The sequence below is a fragment of the Homo sapiens genome, chromosome 13 (genome assembly GCF_000001405.40).
Source record: "Homo sapiens chromosome 13, GRCh38.p14 Primary Assembly".
In the NCBI taxonomy this organism is placed as follows: Eukaryota; Metazoa; Chordata; class Mammalia; order Primates; family Hominidae; genus Homo; species Homo sapiens.
This window is the reverse complement of record NC_000013.11, coordinates 26,535,956-26,555,920: the sequence shown is the minus strand read 5'-3', so window position 1 is coordinate 26,555,920 and position 19,965 is coordinate 26,535,956. Positions and strand designations below refer to the sequence as shown.

General features: G+C 41.9%; 1 protein-coding gene across 1 annotated transcript in view; it reads right to left on the bottom strand.

Annotated features, from left to right (window-relative positions):
• WASF3 (WASP family member 3) overlaps window positions 1-16,782 on the bottom strand; it is a 149,810-nt gene extending 133,028 nt beyond the window's left edge. The window contains exon 1 of the mRNA XM_024449315.2: window positions 16,684-16,782. The gene's annotated coding sequence lies outside the window, so the exon portion shown is untranslated. The remainder of the gene's footprint in view (window positions 1-16,683) is intronic.
• Window positions 16,783-19,965: the final 3,183 nt, after the last annotated feature.

The following is a 19,965-nucleotide window of genomic DNA, read 5'->3' as shown; positions in this document are numbered from 1 at the left end:
CAGTCTTGTTAGAGGATTAGAGCCCACCGCTAATAAGTGCCTCATCCTTAATAAAATGTTGCTGCATCAGGGAGTGAATTGGTGACCTGTAACAGAATCTTGACTAAAAGTGCCTACTAAATAGGAGTGCTTCTTATCACAAAACCAGAAACCTGGAGACAGCCACAGGGCTTCTGTAATATCTCTTCTATGGTGTCGTTGTGTCTCAGGCTCTTTCTAGCCATTGTCTCTGCTATCCTTGTCATGTGATCTCTGTCTTCATCCTCACAGGATGCCTGCTTCCCTTGTAAGCATTGCATCACATTGAGGAAAATGGTAGGGGGATGGGTAAAGGGCAAAAGATCAAAGAGGTGCATGCCCAGTTGGGTCTGCATCTTCCTGGGAAGCTTTACCCAGCACCTTCTGCTTGCATTTTATTGGCCAGCCACATGTCACATGACCACCTTTAGCTGCAAAGGAGTCTGAAATGCTAAGTATTTAAAGTTGGGGCATTGGCTGGAGGAATATTAGAGTTTTGTTAGTAATGGAAAAGAGGAATGCAGACCTTGGGTATGAGAGTGGCAGTACCTGATGTAGTTGCTGAATAAATGAATTCATGATTGAGCCCTCACTCTATTTATTCATAAGACCCACTTTTTTAAAAAGGCCACTCAGGTGTCAATTAAAAAACAATCCAATTTTCAAGTGAGCAAAAGATCTAAACAGACACCTCCCTAAAGTGGAGTTGACAATACACAGATGGCAAATAAACATGCTCAATATCATGTGTCATTAAGGAATTGCAAATTAAAACAAAAATGAAATACTATGACATACCTACTAGGATGGCTAAAATAAAAAAGCTAACGGCAACAACAACAAAAAACCTAAGGATACCAAATACTGGCAAGGATACAAAACAACAGGAATGCCCATCCATTGCCGATGGGAATGCAAAATGGTACGACCACTTTGGAAGACAGTCTGGCAGTTTCTCACAAAGCTAAGCATAGTCTCACAATTCAGTCCAGCCATCACACTCCTAGGTATTTACCCAATTGTGCTGAAAACATGCCCACACAAAAACTTGTACCCGAATGTTTATTCATAATCACGAGACCCTGGAAGAATCAAAGATGTCCCTCACAAGGTGAATGAATAAACAAATTGCAGTACATCCATACAATTGAATGTTATTTCATGATAAAAAGAAATGAGCTATCAAGCCATACAAAGACATGGAGGAAACTTAAATGCATATAGCTAAATGAGAAAAGTCAGTCTGAGAAGGCTACAGACTGTATGATTCTAAGTATATTCATTCTGGAAAAGGCAGTAGGAACCATAGTTAACAGAATAAAAAGAAAGTTTCGTTTCTTAAAATTTTTTAAGCAAGGTCACCTTTGCTGTATTTATGGACCTTTATTGCAGTCACAAATTCTATTGTCCTTCAACTATTGGTAAATCTTTTTTAAAAGTTCTTTATCATTGTACCTTTTAAGAAGTTTTTGGGCTATGTGCAGTGGCTCACACCTGTAATCCCAGCACTTTCGGAGGCCAAGGCAGGAGACTTGCTTGAGGTCAGGAATTTGAGACCAGCCTGGGCAATATAGTGAGATTCCCATCTTTGCAAAAACTAAAAGAATTAGCCAAGAGTGGTGGCATATGCCTGTAGTCCCAGCCACTCAGAAGGAGGCTAAGGCAGGAGTGTCGCTTCAGCCTAGGAGTTGGAGGCTGCAGTGAGCTGTGCTCACACCATTGCAATCCAGCCTGTGTGACAGAGTAAGACTCTGTCAAAGAAAGAAAGAAAGAAAGAAAGAAAGAAAGAAAGAAAGAAAGAAAGAAGGAAGGAAGGAAGGAAGGAAGGAAGGAAGGAAGGAAGGAAGGAAGGAAGGAAGGAAAGAAAGAGAAAGAAGGAAGGAAGGGAAGGAAAGGAAAGGAAAAGAAAAGAAAAGAAAAAGTTTTGGGGAGGTTTTCCTGACTTTTTATATTAAAATTTTTCCAATGTAAAGAAAAATTGAAAGAATGGTAGAAGGAACACCCATATACCTTTATCCAATTACACAAGGCCACATTTGCTCCATCAGTCTCTCTCTCTGTCTCTCCATAATTTTTTTTTTTTTTTGAGATGGAGTCTCGCTCTGTCGCCCAGGCTGGAGTGCAGTGGCGTGATCTCGGCTCACTGCAAGCTCCGCCTCCTGGGTTCACACCATTCTCCTGCCTCAGCCTCCCAAGTAGCTGGGACTACAGGCGCCCGCCACCACAACTGGCTAATTTTTTGTATTTTTATTAGAGACGGCGTTTCACTGTGTTAGCCAGGATGGTCTCGATCTCCTGACCTCATGATCCGCCCGCCTCGGCCTCCCAAAGTGCTAGGATTACAGGCGTGAGCCACCGTGCCCGGCCTCTCCATTATTTTTTAGCTGAACCACTTGTAGACAAATTGCAAACACCAAGATACTCTACCTTAAATACTTCAGCATATATCTCCAAAATAAAAATGTCTGGATCATTCTAGTGTACAAGCAGAGCCGTGCATAGCCTATAAAATGGAACCGTGGAGACTCGATACCTGTAACTCCTCCAGACTCCGTTACTACCCCCTCCCAACTTTTTCTCTGTAAATATTTGACCAACCTGGTATACGATGCTGGTATTATACTGAAGTACAGTAAAATAAAATCTAGCAGCAGGGAAACTGGTGACAAGGTATTGTGGTCAAGAGAATACTGGTGATGCAAGTGACTGTCAGTGTTCTGTGAAATCCCGTGCATGCAGCGTGTAGTGAAGCCAGTCCGGGGCCCACAGGGCAGTGAGATGCAGCTGTCTAGCATTACGATAACTGAACAGCTCTCAAGCATATTCCTAATAAGAATATGCTTCACAACTATTTTTAAAACCTCTTGAATTGTGCCATCTTTGTTCTTTGCCTGGTCAAAATCTTGGATATATTTCTAAAGTCAAAATGTAGGCAGCTTAGGCATCCTCTTAATTTGAATCTGATAGTGATGACACAGTGACTTTCTCAAGACACTTAATAAATTAGGTATTCCCTCAGTGATTTGCTTAATTCTCTTTTGTCATCACTAAGTCTTTAGTGGAAAAACAATTGTCATTCTTTTTACTTAATAACATGTCATCTTACATAAAAATTACAAACTGCTTTGCATTAGGAACTGAGTTCAATCTCACTTTGCGGAAGAGAAAGAACAAAGAGTGGTTACTAATTAAAAGAATATAATTAGAATATGTAAGAAATCAAATTTTAAAAGCATAATAACTGTCATTTTTGACATGCTCATTTGTACTTGTTCTCAGAATGAAGTAAAATAATGACTACAAATACCTCAGTTCTCAAGAATTAATTTAGCTCCATATATAAATCTTTATAAACATACTTCACTTACCCGAGCTTTCTTCTGAAGGATAGTATTTATTTTCATCTTGACATAGAGTGAAATAAATACATACATATCCATATCTACGTCTCAAAGAATAAAATATTTGCTGGAAACATGGCTATATCTTAAATTTTAATATTAACCCAATTATCTCATCAGAGCAAGGCAGTATATTGATATTAACTTTATTTTGAGGTGAGGAAAATTATGAGAAGGTAAAAATAACAAACATTTGTTGAGAATGCTCTATGTGCAGTATGCTGTATTTGTTGTATTTAACCTTCATAACATCTATTGGATATGTGGTCTGTTGCCCATTTTATAGATAAGGCCCAGAGAAATTGTCTTTTTCCCCCAAGGTAACCCAGCCAAGACTCACTGATATTTTCACAGACAAGCTGTTTTTCCAATGAACATGGAGAGCCCTAGAAGTTGCTATTCTTGCTAAGTGAAACAGCAGAGTAATGTGTGCACAATATTCTGAGAAGCACATGGCCAATACTTCCCTCAAATCTATCCCTGCCTCTCCTTTCCCATTCCCACAACCCAAGCTGAGTTCACCACCATCCCTTTTTGTGCTGTGACAATATTTCTAACACATTTCCCTTGGTTTTTCCTTCACTGTGTCTTCACGCTATTTTATGAGCAATTTTTAAAATGTAGATCTGATAGCATCTCTATGCTGCTCAAAAACCGTCAGAGTCTCCCACTGTCTACAGGATAAGTCAAATAAAGCCCTTAAAAATAATCCAGCTACCAGATTTCCTGAAGCATCCTGCACCACTAGCATTCGCCCTACATGCCCTGGGCTTTCTGTCTGAATACCCCTCCTGCCCTTCCTCACCTGGGAAGCTCAACTTTCACAACGCAGCTCAAATTCACCTCTCTGGAGCCTTCCTGGGCACAGTTACCTACACCAGCCTCTGTACTCTCCTTGCACTCCTTCACATGGCTTTATTGCCACGGTTAATTCATTGTCCCCCACCAGACAGGGAATTATTTGAGGCCAGAGACTAGTTCTTATTCATTTTGAATCCCTAGTGCCTAACACTTACTAGGCATAGAGCTAATATTTGTTGAATGAGTTTTCATGATGTCATTGGAACTACTAATATCCAAGCAATCTAAATAGCACTTAAAGACAGAGGGCTCCAAGGCATCAGACTTAGATATTCCCATGGTGAGCATGCGGAGAACAGGCTTCCATCCCCCATGAAGCCACTGTATTAGTTCGTTCTCATGCTGCTATAAAGAACTACCTGAGACTCAGTAATTCATGAAGAAGAGAGGTTTAATTGACTCAGTTCTGCACGCTTAACAGGAAGCATGGCTGAGAGGCCTCAGGAAACTTAGAATCATGGCAGAAGGCAAAGGGGAAGCAAGCATGTCTTACCATGGCAGAGCAGTAGAGAGAGAAAGAAGGGAAAAGTGCCACACACTTTTAAACCATCAGATCTCATGAGAACACACTCACTATCATGAGAACAGCAAGGGAGAAATCTGCCCCCACGATCCAATCACCTGCCACCAGGTCCCTCCTCTGATATGTGGGGATTACAATTCAACATCAGATTTGGGTGGGGACATAGAGCCAAACCACATCAGACATGAAGCTGATGGGGACAGCGTTAGGAAGATTGAAGGTGTCCCCAGTGACAATTGTGTCACTCCAGGCACATTGGCCCATGCAGGCTGCCTACTCCCACATTGCCCCCACTTCCCCACCAGACACTGATCAGTTTCTCCTGGCTCTCATCCAATAGACACACAATCCTGGCCTTGCTGGGGTGGGGAAGGGGAGGGTGCCTGGATCTGAAGTTACCTGGCTGCTGAATGTGTTACAGCAAGATATGCACAGGCCTTAATTAGACACCACTTATTGTCCACTTACCTTGGACCCCAGAACCTTGGGAGGAAGGGGGATGGCATATAAAGACCATGAGCTCTTGAATTAAACTAATCAGGATTAAATTCCCAGTCAATGGCTTACTTAGGAAAGTAACTAAATATCTCTGAGCCCCCATTTCCCTTATATAAAATGAGAGTAAAATAGTTGAATAATTGCCAATGTTCAGTGAGTTTTAATTATTCCTCTTCTTCATCCCTCCCTCTTTGAACTGCACTTGTTGGTGTATAAGATCTGTTCCCTTCAGCACCTGAAGGAAATTTATTTTAAGCCAGACTTTACAAACAACGAAGGGAGTTATCTGGAAATGACTGAACCAAAGCTTATGAGGGGAACTAAAATGCACTGCACTTATTTGAACAAACAGTAAATAAGGTATAGGATAAGTCTATGTTTTCCAATAAGGAATTTTAAAAAAATCAAACCCTGCAGTCTGATGTAGCATATAGACCCTCCCCCAGTTTGTTCATCCTTGTCTGGGACCTATCATGCTTTCAGATCCATGTGTACCTTGTTTTCATATTATTACAAAAATTGAATAGCTATTGCTCCAAATTCAGTTATTGTCTTCATTTATTGCTTGGGTATTACTGTTCCTAATTTGCTCCTAAAAGAAATGTACAACACTCTCTTGCAAAGCATACTCTGCAAAATTACCTGCTGCAGTTGCCTAAGATTGGCTTTTATCTCTGTGCTGTGGTGAGGTGGAGTTATATAAGCCACCCGGGCTTTTGGCAGGAAGAAAATAACTCCCAGAGTGATGCTACCTGAAAGACTTGCCTTCATTATCAAACATTCTCCTCAACCATCAGGCACTGGGGTTTTTGCTGGTTCAAACATTCTAAGCCCAAATCCATGTGGGTTATTTATGCAATGGCTTTTCCTATAAAATTTAAAGATCTTAACAGATTTAGGTGTTTTTAAAATTTTATTTTTTCTTAGGAAAGCCCTTGAAGAAAGGATATTTGACAGATGAGTCATCTAAGGCACCAGAAGTTAAATGACTTGCCTGGAGTCGCAGAGGGTTTTTATTTTTACAAATCCAAGAACACTTCCTAAGGTTGCCTTAGTTCCCAGTCTGGGTCATTCTTTGTAGAAAGGACTGTTGTGTTTTACTCAACGTTGTGATCCCCATGTTAGGTCCACTAACGCTCAATACCCATAATCTTTATTAATAAAGATAATGAAGCTTTATTAATAAAAAGAGAGACAAGTCGTAAGATGCCCTGGTTGAAGCCAAGCTAAGTACAATGTTTCTTGCTGCCATTAAGGAGAACCCCACAGCATGGAAAGGCAAACCCAGGCAGGTAGTCAAAAGCAATACTCATGAGTCAAGAAAAAAATGTAGTGGGATTGGCTAGGCGCAGTGGCTCACGCCTGTAATCCACACACTTTGGGAGGCTGAGGCGGGTGGATCATGAGGTCAGGAGATCGAGACCATCCTGGCCAACATGGTGAAACTCTGTCTCTACTATAAGTACAAAAATTAGCTGGGCGTGGTGGTGCGTCTCTGTAATCCCAGCTACCTGGGAGGCTGAGGCAGGAGAATTACTTGAACCAGGGAGTCGGAGGTTGCAGTGAGCCGAGATCACGCCACAGCACTCCAGCCTGGCAACAAAGCAAGACTCCATCTAAAAAAAAAAAACAAAGAAAGAAAGAAAGAAAAATAAAATGTAGTGAGATCTAGGGGAGAAGTAGATGGTAAATTAAATTCCACCAGCGTATCAGAGAGAGGGAAGATACATCTAATCAAGTAGAAGCATAGAAGAGGTGACATTTAAGTAGAACCTCAAAGGGTAGTTGTCATTTTGACAAGTAGAGACAGCTGGAGAAGGGCACTGCAGGGCTGGAAATGGTACAGTTGGGGAGAAGCTGGTGAGTTGGGGGAATGCTGGAGAAAGTTGCAGAGAAGCTGGAAGAAGAGGCTAGGACTTCACTCTGTAGGGTCATGAATATCTTGCTAGGAAATTCTGGCGTGATTGCATAGACCACAAGGAGCCACTGAAGGCAGTTTAATCAGTTCACCAAAGTGTGTTACGGCCTTGGGTTGGGCTCAGCTCTCTGGGGAAAAGAAGCAAATGCAGAGCTTCTGTGTACTTTGTGAAGATTTCTGTCATGCATGAATAGTGCGTTGGAGAGGAGAAAGGAGGCAAGGAGATGAGTTATAAAGTTCTCAAATAAGTGGCAGATATAATTAAGGCTTCAACTGAGAAAGCGGCAAAGAGAAGGGAAAGAAAAGAGCAGTGTGGGACATGTCTCAGGGATAGGACCCAGGGGAGTTGATCATTGACCTTCGGAAAGTAAGAAGAGAAGGAGATTAAAATGTCAGAGATTATTTCAAGGTTTCAAGCTTCTGGGAAGGAAAAGGAGGATGTTATTACAGACAGGGTAGTCTGGAGAAAAAGTAAATTTGAAGGAAAACATCTGGAGTTTTATGCTGAATGCTAAGGAAATTTATCAGGTGCTGTATAAATGAAAACATAGAAATGCCATGGTCAAAGATATATCTGTGCAGAGGTTTGCCTATGAGAATCCGAAAACCAGAACTCTGTCTCTCTACAAAACTTAAAATAAGGTCAATCTGTACTAACCCAAATGATTGACCCTGGCAGATATTAATAGAGCAAAACCTTGCTCTGCAAGGGAAACCAAGTCATTTTAGGCAATGTCATTCATTGACATTAATGCATGATTAGATGACTCAGTCAAAATCTACCTAGGATGTATTAACTCACCCAACAGGCCCATGCCCCTAAAATGTTCTCACTGGTTTCTGTTTGATATTTTCTTACTCATTTCAATGTGGACAAGTGTCCAGGGAGCATTTTATTTGCACTTAATGGAGATGTTCAAAAAATAAAGAGTCTCAGCCACCAAGGAACTTGCGATTCAGTGGAGAAGATCAAGAGAAGCAAACAGACTATTACAGTTCAAATATACACTATTCTAGAAGGTTCTACAAGAGCCGGGAGAAGTATCTTCAGCAGAAAGTCAGAAGAGAGGAAAACTGATTGAAGAAGTCTTCTCAAGGAGAACATTTGCAGTTCACACCTCAAATATGAGAAGGAATCAGTAAGGCCAAGCAAAGAGCCAACTCTAGACAGAGTTGATACCAAATGCAAAGGTATTAAGGACAATGTGTGAACTCAGGTATGGCTCACTACTAATTCTGGATAGATAGCCCCAGGAAAAGGATGTATATGATGGGTGTGTGTGTGTGTGTGTGTGTGTGTGTGTGTGTTGATGGGGTAGGAGAAAAGTGTGGAGTTATACAGAAATTAGACTGAAGGGGTAAACTGAGGCAGACCATATTAATTTTGTCAGTCAATTTATTTATACCCTATATTATTGCACAGATTTAAGGTATCTCATCAAATATATTCAATAAAACAGGGTTACAAATTAGGAATTCAAACAAAGAACAAATGTGGGTTGGATATTTGTGAAATAAGGTTGAAATTATGAATAATAGTTAAAGACAGATCACCTGTTTTGTTTTGAGCTTCCTAGCTGCCAACTCAGGGGAAAAAAAAAAACCAACCACCATGATATCTATTAAATAAAACGAATCTAGGTGCTTAGAAGAAGTAATGGCCCCTGGAATGCAGTAAGTGCTCCTTCAGTTTCACTGGTAAGTCACTTTGCAGATAGGAGGCTTCAGACATGGTAAGTAGAGATCTGGGGAGATCTGTCCTTGAAAAGCATGAGCTTGATGAAGAGGGTAAGGGTGGCTGAAGGTGAAGTATAGGGAGCATGGCCTCAGCTTCACCTCTTTGCAATGTGGGCTTCTCTCCTGCCCTTGTGAAAATGAGTTAAGGTCACACGCTGGAGCCAGCGGGCCAAATCAGTCACAGATGTGGTTTATTTTTGGCAAGCACAATTTTTGTTGTTGTTTGTTTTTACTTTTTATTTTATTTTATTTTGAGATGGAGTCTTGCTCTGTTGCCCAGGCTGGAGTGCAGTGCCGCGATCTCGGCTCACCACAACCTCCGCCTCCCGGGTTCAAGCCATTTTCCTGCCTCAGCTTCCCAAGTAGCTGGGATTATAGGCACCCGCCACCCCACCCAGCCTAATTTTTGTATTTTTAGTAGAGACGGGGTTTCACCATGGTGGCCAGGCTGGTCTTGACCTGACCTGACCAGGTCCTCAGGTGATCCACCCACCTCGGCCTCCCAAAGAACTGGGATTTGCAGGCGTGAGCCACCGCACCCAGTCTGTTTTTACTTTTATTTTTGTTTTTACGTTTTTTCTCATTATTGCAAAAGCAATATAATTGTAAAAGACTTTGAAAAGACAGAAGAGCAGAAACAAACAAACAAAAATGATAATCCAACTCAGAAACAATCACTATTAACACCTGCTTTTATCTGAGATATTTGCTTCAAGCGTTTTTGCTTCATTTGAATCTTCCAGGCACAACAGGCTGCTGTGGGTGCCGGTACCCTATGGCCCTATATCTGACCCAAATCGCATATTTGTGTTTTCCTGCCTTGTCTTTGTGATCCCAAAACTAAAATCCTAAATTATGTATGACCCCTAAGATTATGTCACAAAGTGAATAAATTTTAAAGAAAAGAAGCAAAAGAGTGAAAGGAAGGGTAGTCATTCAAGAGGAAAATAAATCTAATACAATTAATAGTGTTTTTAAAACATCAATAAACATTTTAAGTAAGATAATTTATTAAACCACATTAAGACTGAAAGCCAAAACATGTTTAAAAATAAAATAGAGGCTGGGTGCAGTGGCTTATGTCCGTAATCTCAGCACTTTGGGAGGCCAAGGCAGGAGGATATCTTGGGGTCAGGAATTTGAGACGAACTTGGGCAACAGAGTGAGACCCTGTTTCTACAAAAAATTTTAAAAAGTAACTGCATGTGGTGATGCACCTGTAGTCCCAGTTACTCAGGAGGCTGAGGCAAGGGGATACTTGAGCCCAGGAATTCAAGGTTGCAGTAAGCTATGATAACACCACTGCCCTCTAGCCTTTGAAACAGTGTGAAGCCATGTCTCTAAAAAAATTAAATACATAAATACATAAATAAACAGAGATAGGATAAATACAATTTAGACTAAAATAGATTTTTTTTAAATCTAGAAAAGTAAAAAATTAAACCATAAAAGTAGAAAGGATAAAATACAGAGAACGAGGAATTAAAAGGTAAAGTTACTGCAATCAAAATTAAAAATATAAAGCCAGAAGGCATTATGGAGACTAACAAGTCAAAAGTTAAAATGAAATTGAAAAGAAATAACATTACAAGGGAAAACAATTTTAAAGAAAATAAATCTAAGCATTCTGAAAATCCATGAAAGAATATTAAAATGATAAAAAGAGACAATGAAAATTACATACTGTATCCCAAAATAATCTTGAAGCACAAAGCCAGAGCTCTGAGGAAAACTCCAATTTTGCTACTACAGTGGAAGGGAGTGAAAGAAAATCAGCAGAAAGCAAACAGCAGCAGAGCTCCTAACAAAGTCCTGGGTTGCCTCTGGTTTCCCATGTCGATCCCATTTATCCCAGGGGTGGAGAGTGGAGGGGCAAAGAACAACACGATGCTCTGAGCAAGCCATGCCCAGTGCCTTCAGCATGGTTTCTCCTGTTCCTGACAATCACGACTCTTTTTAGCTGGCTGATCGTGCCTCAAAAAATGTCCTTCTGTTATTGACATTTGTCAGTAGAAGATATGCTGCTTAGCATACACTGGGTGGACTCTGTGCCTGTCCAGAGTGCCCTTGAGAAAGGGAACAGTCAGAAAAACAGGCAGAGCACGTGTAGCTTTCTGGAATGTCCACAGTATGGTGGGAACCGCCAGGCCACAGTGTGGTCTTCACCTTGACAGCTTTAAGAGACCTTGTCAGATCACTTGACGTGGAGTCCTGCAGTCCTCATGGTAGCCGACTTCACCAAACAGACTCGGGATGCTTGTTTACTCTGACCAATACAGCACCAGGGAAACAATGCCAGATTCTTACTGTGATTCTTCTATAGATGGTGAAAAAACTACCTGTATCGTGACATCACATTAGACATGGTACAACTAATGAGATCTTAACTTCGTTTCTATTCTTAGTAGTCACTCTTGGGTTTTGATGAGATTTGCGATTCACTTAACTCTTTTGATAATACTAGCGGGCATCCTGGCGGCTCCCATTCCCTCTGAGCAGCAGCACTGACCCCATGTTTGTGCAGGATAGCTGGAGGAGATGCTGTGCTGAAAAGAAGCACATTTGCTGGCCCATCAACATTCCATACTCTTGGTATAAAACCGATTTGGGCCTTCCATCTTACTATGCATCTTATGTACTTAGATAAGGGTTCCTTTTGAGAAGCCAAGAAGGATGAAGAGTGAGTAAAAAACAATGATGATTCACTCCCAGTTTGTAAAGAAAATCAAGAGCTTAAATTCACCTTGTATGGTTGTATCCACTCTTAATATCACTGACTCCTTTCTCTCACCCTCTTGAAAACTAAATTGTCTGGAAAAACCATTCCTAGATGCTCCTGTAAGGATTTCATTCCCAAATCTTGTTAGAATTTTTGTGAATTCTTCCTGTGCCTCTCAAATTATAATGTTAGTGGAACAGGGCAGTTACATACAAGCATGCATGGCCACAAAGCCTCCATCCATCCATCCACCCCCAGATCTAGAGTCATTATTTTTTAAGGATTTTTTTAAGGAACGAGCCTATATGTCAATAGCAATTGCTTGGATCTTAGAAATCGGTTCTTGTAGGTTTAAATATGGCTACAGCTAATGACATATTGATTATTGCAGTGAAGCCTTGCTAAAAGCAGTTTTCCACTCGATTGCCAATGGAAACCAGAAGAGGTCAAGCTTAGTGAGGCTGGGGAAACTATCGGTGCCCCACAATCTTTCTGAAATTCCGGGATTTTGAAAGAGAACCTTGAGGCAGGTTCCATAGAACTTATGGCTACAGACACGTGGCCATGAGAATGGATCTGTTCTCTACACCCTGTGAAGGCAATAAGGGCACCAGGCACCAGAAAGCTATGCTGTTTATCATTGTCCCCTCTTCCCACCATCTGTTCGCCCTTTCTCCTCTCTTCCTTTCCCTAGAATCAAGTCTTTAAGATCTGAAATTTAGAAGAACATTGATCTATTACTCTCTCCACCTCATCCCCAGTACAATACTAGTAATAATAATATTTCTCTTCAAATGGTTCAAAATGAAGTCTATTGTATTCTAGAAATTATATTGAAAGCTAAAAGCTTTCTGAATGAATAAATAATAGATTTTCATTCCCAAGGACTTTGCACATGCTGACCCACATGGCATCCCAGTTTCAAGGGTTTGTTTTCAAACTCAGCAGACATCTACCCATCCATCTATGCTTAACTCTCTCCTGCATGTGCAGAGGAAGTCCTGAGAGCCAAAAAGAAAAGCAGGAATGCTTCCAGATAAACAAAGACTCCAGGATCAGAGTCCAGGCAGACACATTCCCACCACCTCCACGTCCCCACCACCTCCACATCACCCCAACATCCTCCTGCTCAGAAATGCCTTAAAGAAGCAGGGCTTGACCCTTCCACACAGGACACTGAAAGGACATGATGTCCCAAAGCCCTGCACTACCCTCCATCATGTTTTACTGTTCATTACCTACTTAACATACTCCCTCTTCTTTAGCCTGTGTTCAGAAATTCTTTGTCCCATTAAAACTGCAGGCTCCTTATGTGCAGATACTATTTCTGCACAGTCCATTCATTGCCTTTCGAAAAGTGACATTTAAAAAAATGTCCCAAGGCAATCAATCAATAAGCATTTATTGAGCACCTATTCTAGGCCCAGGGCAACAATAGCTTCTGCTAATAAACTAACAATGTGTTTCAGACAGGAGGTGACGCAGAGTGCTGTTTAACCCAGATAAAATGTGTTAGGGGCATGACATTGAACTCTCGTTTTCAGATATGTCACTTCAATGTATGTGGCTAACATATAGCTTTGTGTGAATAGGTGCTCAATACTTTAACCACTTCTCACTGACAGATTTTGATGCAGTACTACAATTAAGATTCTGTGGCTCTCTGGCAAATGTAATACAAAAACATTTGAAAGGGAAGTATGATCTAGATGGAGAATAACAAACGATTTATAGTTTATTTGCCAAGACATGTAGGAGGTAAATATAAAACAAAACTCTAGCAAATTTAGCATTTTCCTTCTCCAAATATAATGCTGCTGACTACAGGCCAACAGCACAGCTTTGCACAGCTCCTTGCATTAAAATTGGCCAAGAATGAGATGCCATCACTGTTCCACATTTAGATGCTGTAACAGACATTTGCTAGTTTGTGGCCAGATATTGGTTTATTCAAACAACCTACAATCTTATTTATAACCCACAAGGCAAATAACAAAGGTGTGAAGGGTGGAATTCTTTGCCATGCTGAGCCTTTACTTGTGCCAAAGATCATAATTCTAAGTGTGCAATTCATCTTTCATCTGTGAAGTAATAAAGTAAATATAATTCCTTTGAAGCAGTAAATCTCAGCAATCTGCAGGTGCCTGGGTGGAGATTTCGGTAGGATTTTTGTAAGGCAAATGGGTCATGTTCAAACTATGCAATTCAGCTCAAGTGCTTAATGTGTACCACAGCATGTCAGGCATGATACAGTCCCCCATGTACAGCTCCAAAGGGGGAATAAAACAGGTACACCAACACCTGGCAGAGAAGGCCGGGTACATTCAGGGCTGGGGAAGTGGTGCAGAGTGACAGATGGATTAGGAGGAAAGTGAGACCTCTCCTGGTTGGAGGCTTAACGAAGAGAGGTTTGAGGGAAGGATGTAGCATTTGAGGTGGAATTGAAAGAATGGGTGGGCTCTGGGCCAGGCACAGTGGCTCATGCCTGTAATCCCAGGGCTTTGGGAGGCCAACGCGGGAGGATCACTTGAGCCCAGGAGTTTGATACCAGCCTGGTCAACATAGTGAGATCTCATTTCTTCTAAAAAAGAAAAAAAAAAGTGGGCTTCCGGGATATAGAAAGGAGAAACCCAAAGGAGCTGGGGCTAAGGGTGTTACAGGGCCAGGTGTGTTCTCTACTAGGGCCTGCCTGCCTTCTTCCCTATAATAACTAACACTGCTTGAGCACTTACTGTGTACCAGGCACCACTTAAGTGCTTGTTACATGATATGATCCATTTAGTCCTCAGAATATTCCTATGAGATTATCCATAAAATAGTCTTATCTCATTTTCAGTTCAGAAAAACAAGACATAGAGAGGCTAAGCAACTTACCCAAGGTTGCACAGCTATTAAGTGGCAGGCTGGAATGCAAACCCAGGCAAGCTGTTTTCAGTGCAGTCTTAAGTTCCGCCTTTCCCTGCCCTCGAGATTTGGCGCCCAACACGTTGGGACTCAGCTGCAGCCTCTAGCTGCTAAATCTGACTCCTCTCTCGGGCCAGTGCCCTCAGTTGGATCTCTGCCTTGTTTCTGAGAACCAGGATCCCAAGAGCTATGTTACATTGTGTGTTTGTAAAAACAACTTTTAAAAGTTGTTTTCCTTATTTAAAAAAGCAATACTTATTTACTGTGGAATAATTAGATAATATAAATAAGCAAAATGAAGAAAAGCAAAATACTTCCATAATTCCAGACCCCAGAGACAAGCACTCTTAACGTATCACTGAGTATCTTTCCAGACCGTTTTTGCGCGCGTATATACTTGGAATGAACACATACAAATACAAACTATCTTGCAATCTGCTTTTTCCACTTAGCACCAACACAAACATCTTACTATGTCAACCAACCTTTATCTATAGTCTGATTTTAAGTGGTTCTTCTCAGTGTTATCTCCTAATAGGGAGTTAGATGAGGCCAGATGCAAAGCGTGTAAGGTCGGGGAGGGAGTTGTTTGGGGTCTGAACCAAGGAAGAAAACCCTGGAATTGGCCAAACACAGATGAAGCAGGAGCAGAGACATGGTCTTGGCAAGGGGCCCCCAAGTGTAAATCTAGTCCAGATGGGGCGGGAGGGGCATAGCTAATCCTACTCAATTCCAAGCTGGTGGCAGGAGCCAAGAGGCAATCTGTCAGTGACCAATCCTGGGATAAGACTTCAGACGAGCAGAGCATGGTATATGGGAGGGGTGGACACAGAGGCAGGCCACCCTAGGGAGTCCAGAGAATGAGGTTGTGAGCTGCAGGAAATTAGGAGCCAGGCCAATGCTCGAGGTTGCCAGGACAGTGGAAGAAGAGCATGCTGGGCAGGTGGCTTGGCCTTCCTGCCAGGGTCTCCAGGACTCTGACCTTCAAGGGTCCAGAAACCAAGGACTGTTCCAGCTCCACTTATGAGCCCTGGGCTGCTGCTATACTTCCTGGGCAGATCCTGTTGCCTTGGGAGAGGGGGATGAATGGCAGATTTCTGGTGGTAATTATAATATTAAAACCAGAGATGGAGTAGGAGGAGCAGGAACTGGCATTCTATCTTGTTTTTGTTGCCCAACCAGGTTTGATGGTCAGTCCTTCTAGGGCTCTGCTCCCTGGACCACAAGCCATGGGTGGGACCTGTCTGGCTTAGGATCTTCCTGTCTGCTTGAGTCTTAGGACATTCCTGCCTCTGCTCTGCAGGACATCTTCAATGCCTGCACTGGACTTCATTTGTGCCTGCTCTCACACCCCCCAGACACTCTGTTCCGCCTGCTGGTTGGGATTTCCTTCTGGCACCTACCCATAGACCTGCCCCTTGAAGGGACTTTGACCTGTAGAAGGTAACCAGTCTATACCCAACTGTGTCAAAAGATATCCCAGGAAAACCAGCAAGTGAACCAGTAAGAGAAATGCAAGCAAACTACAGAAGCCAAGACCAGGAATGGGGGCTGGGCCCACGATGTGAAGCATCTCCAACAACAGACCAAGACCAAGGAACCTGGTCAGATTCAGAAAGAAATGGAGAGACATTGAAGAATCAGACTTAGATTTATCTAGAAGCAGCGTAAAGGACAGATGTGTGATGGGGTAGAGGTAAGGGGCTACAGCAGTGGTTAGTTCTAGCAACTATAAATCACCTGGGACAATTTTTTTTTTAATTTAATGCCTAGATCCCACTTTCAGAGATGACTTTCACAGATCTGAGGGACATATTTTTTTATTTACCACAAGAGTCTTAACTGGAACGGAAAATCTTCAGGAAAAATATGCCCCTAAAACCCAGCTAAGGAGTAGCATACTAATTCTTTTCAAAGCAGTCAACTAAAAAGCTATTTGCAGGGTTAAATTGCCTTCCCTGTTTTCTCCCTGGGTCCCTGGTTCCTTCTCTCTCATTTTTCCACCGGATCCTGCATGAGGGTCCATCATTCTTGTATCTTCTACTCACCAGCCCCCCAGACTCAGCTACCACTTGGTCAACCACCCTCATGCTCAGTAACTAACCTTGGCTCTGGTTCCAAATTCTGCATTTGTCCTCCAGGCTCAATTTGATATTTACTCACTGTTTTCCTGGTACCAGCCCCAGCAAGCCACTATCCCCAGACTGCGAACAGAGGAACAGGGAGGGATCCGAGAGGCATTACAAAAAGGAAACATTTGTTTTGGCAACTGATGGGATGTGACAGGATATGATTGCAACATTACAATTAGGAGAAAGAAGAGTAAGATTTCATTGAACAACCAAGAATTCTTGCAGCTTATTGAAAACCTCTGAGAACATGGTGTATACAGTCTGTAAGAAGAAAAATACTTGCTAGGCTGCATGTCTTTAGCTGTAGGAGGATTTATGTTTCAGGTAATGATGTGATCGTGATGGTTAACTATGAGAGGAGAATGAATTGGCAGGCGTGGCAGGCAGAGCAGCCACCTGTCAAAAGGAAAAGATAATAGAAAGAGATTAGTAAACCCAGAGTGGGGAGGATTAGAACCGTGCAGGAAAAGGCTCAGTGTGAAGGAGTATACTGGGGTTTGACTTGAACCATAATTTGAGCTGAGTGAGCCTTCTCTAGTATATTATAAAGCTTTTCCCTTCCAGTGGGAAATGAAATTATAGTAGTGTGAGATGCACATGTGCTAATGTTTTATATTTCCTGTGTAAGTTTAATGATTAACACGGGCTCAGTTTGGAACTGGCACATAAAACAAAAGAGTTCTGGTCTATTGGGGATAGAGCCATGCTTTCATTGGCAAAGGACTCCAAGTCGGCTCTGAAGTGGTCTAGGAGGCCCACAGGCTCACAGAGCACCCCTTCAGGGACCTCGGCCTGAAACTGGACTCGTATTTGTTTCATTTTGCGTTCCCTTCTCTTTGGTCTTCTTTTAAAAATCCAGATACTCTTATTTAGGGATAACACATCAAGCACACATGTACCAAGGTGTTAATGATTCTCAGAGCTCCTTTCCTGATGAAAGATGCTGAGTTAGAGTGAAAGCATCAGAACCTTGGATTATAAAAGAGAGACAGAAAGAGAGAGAGAAGGTTAAGGGTAGTTATTTGTACACCCAAGTTCACAGCAGCGTTACTCAGTAGCCAAAAGGCAAAAGCAACCCAAGTGTCCATCAATGGATGAATGGACAAACAAAATATGGAATTCAATGGAACTTTTGAATAAATAAGTTTACTTGTAAATTTAGTCAACATTCATAATTGACCTAAAAACTTCAATAGGAGGATAAATTTTAAAACCTCTTGGAATGCCATCTCTATAAAAGTAACTTTCCCAGAAAAGTATCTCAGAAATAAGCTAATTTGACACCATCTTAATTAGCAGTGGTTCAGTAAGCTGGAGTACAATGGAATATTATTCAGCCTTAAAAAGGAAGGAAACCCTGTCACATGATTCAACGTGGATGAAACTTGAGAACAGTATGCTAAGTGAAATGAGCCAGTCATAAAAGAACAAGTACTGGATGATTACACTTACATGGGGTATCTAGAGTAGTCAATTTATAGAGACAGAGAGTAGAATAGTGGTTGCCAGAATTTAGGGGATGAGAGAATGCAGAGTTAGTGTTTAATGGTAGAGAGTTTCAGTTTTGCAAGATGAAAAAGTTTTGGAGAGCATAATGTGAATGTATTTAACACCACTGAACTGTACACTTAAAAATGGTTAAAATGGGGTCAGGCACGGTGGTTCACACCTGTAATCCCAGCACTTTGGGAGGCCAAGGCAGGTGGATCACTAGGTCAGGAGATCGAGACCATCCTGGCTAACACGGTGAAACCCCGTCTCTACTAAAAATACAAAAAATTAGCTGGGCGTGGTGGTGGGTGCCTGTAGTCCCAGCTACTCGGGAGGCTGAGGCAGGAGAATGGCGTGAACCCGGGAGGCGGAGCTTGCAGTGAGCCGAGATCACACCACTGCACTCCATCCCGGGCGACAGAGAGAGACTCCGTCTAAAAAAAACAAAACAAAACAAAACAAAAGGTCAAAATGGTAAATTGTATGCTCTGTGTAGTTTTCCACAATTTTTTTTAAAAGTTAAGGGTCATGAAAGCAAAAAATAAATTTTGATGATTTTGAAATTTTGCATAGCGCAGGCCCTGAGGGAAGTTGGTTTGGTTTTGTTATGAGACGGGGGTGGGAAGGGATGTGTTGTAGTTATTGTTTTTAATTGTGGGGTTCCTATGTCTGGATCCTCCTTGGTATAGGCAGTAGGGGCTCTTTCACCATCACCGTCTAGTGCAGCAGCAGTAGCAGTGGCAGCCTGTTCACTCACTGACTCCTATACTGCCAGGCAACCCAGGCAGATTCTGTCATGACTTACAGCAGCCTAATGAGATAGGCACCATCAGGCTCATTTCACAGATGGAGAAACTGAGGGGCGGTAACTCCTCTAGGATCAAAGAGCTGGTAAGTGGCAAACTCCTGTTTTGGCAAGTTCTTTTTTCCCCCTAAAATCAGTATTTGTATTCTTTATTCACCTCAGAAGGTTACAGAAAACTTGGAAAAAGAAAATAAGTGTCTTCGTATATCTTCTTGATAGCAAGTGGAAGGATCAAAGTGAGTAGAAGAGTCCAGTTAAATGACAGCCCACTGTGTGTGCGACTCCAGGCCAGCTTCCTGTGTGCTTAATCTTTACTCTTTCCAGTAATCTAAACTTAGCTCAAGAAAGTGCTTCTTGTTGTTAAGACATATATAAATACAAAGTTGGTAAAAAGTATGCAAGATCCTGTGACCAACAGGCTGGAAAGTGAGGATTTCTGAGCTGATGGTCTTCCCTCCTTCAATTATGCAAGGAGTCTAAAGCAAGTAACTACGTTGACATTGTGCTTACACTTCAGCATGTACAGGTAGAGGTGAGCTCCTGCCCTTCTTCCCTTCTCCATTCAACTATCCACCCCTCACTCCTATCCCACTTAAATCTTTCACTGGCTGTCTCTGGACTTAGGTCAGAGCCCAAACTCTAATTCACAAGGCTCTTAAGAGATGATCCTGCCTTTTCCCATCTCTTCTCTCTTGACTGACACATATGTGGCCCAGTTCCACCCTTAAGTTACCTGTAGTTCCCTGAACACACCTCTTTTCCATACCTTTCACATAACAACTTTGACCTTTATTTACTAAGCGTACCATTGAGCATCTTGCAAGGTAGGTATTATTGGTCCCGTTATACAGATGAGAAAACTGAGGCTAAGAAACATTTTGGAATGTGCACACAGTCCCATAGCTAATGAGCGGCAGTCAGAATTTTAAACAGGGCTGCCTGATTCTAAAGCCAGTGT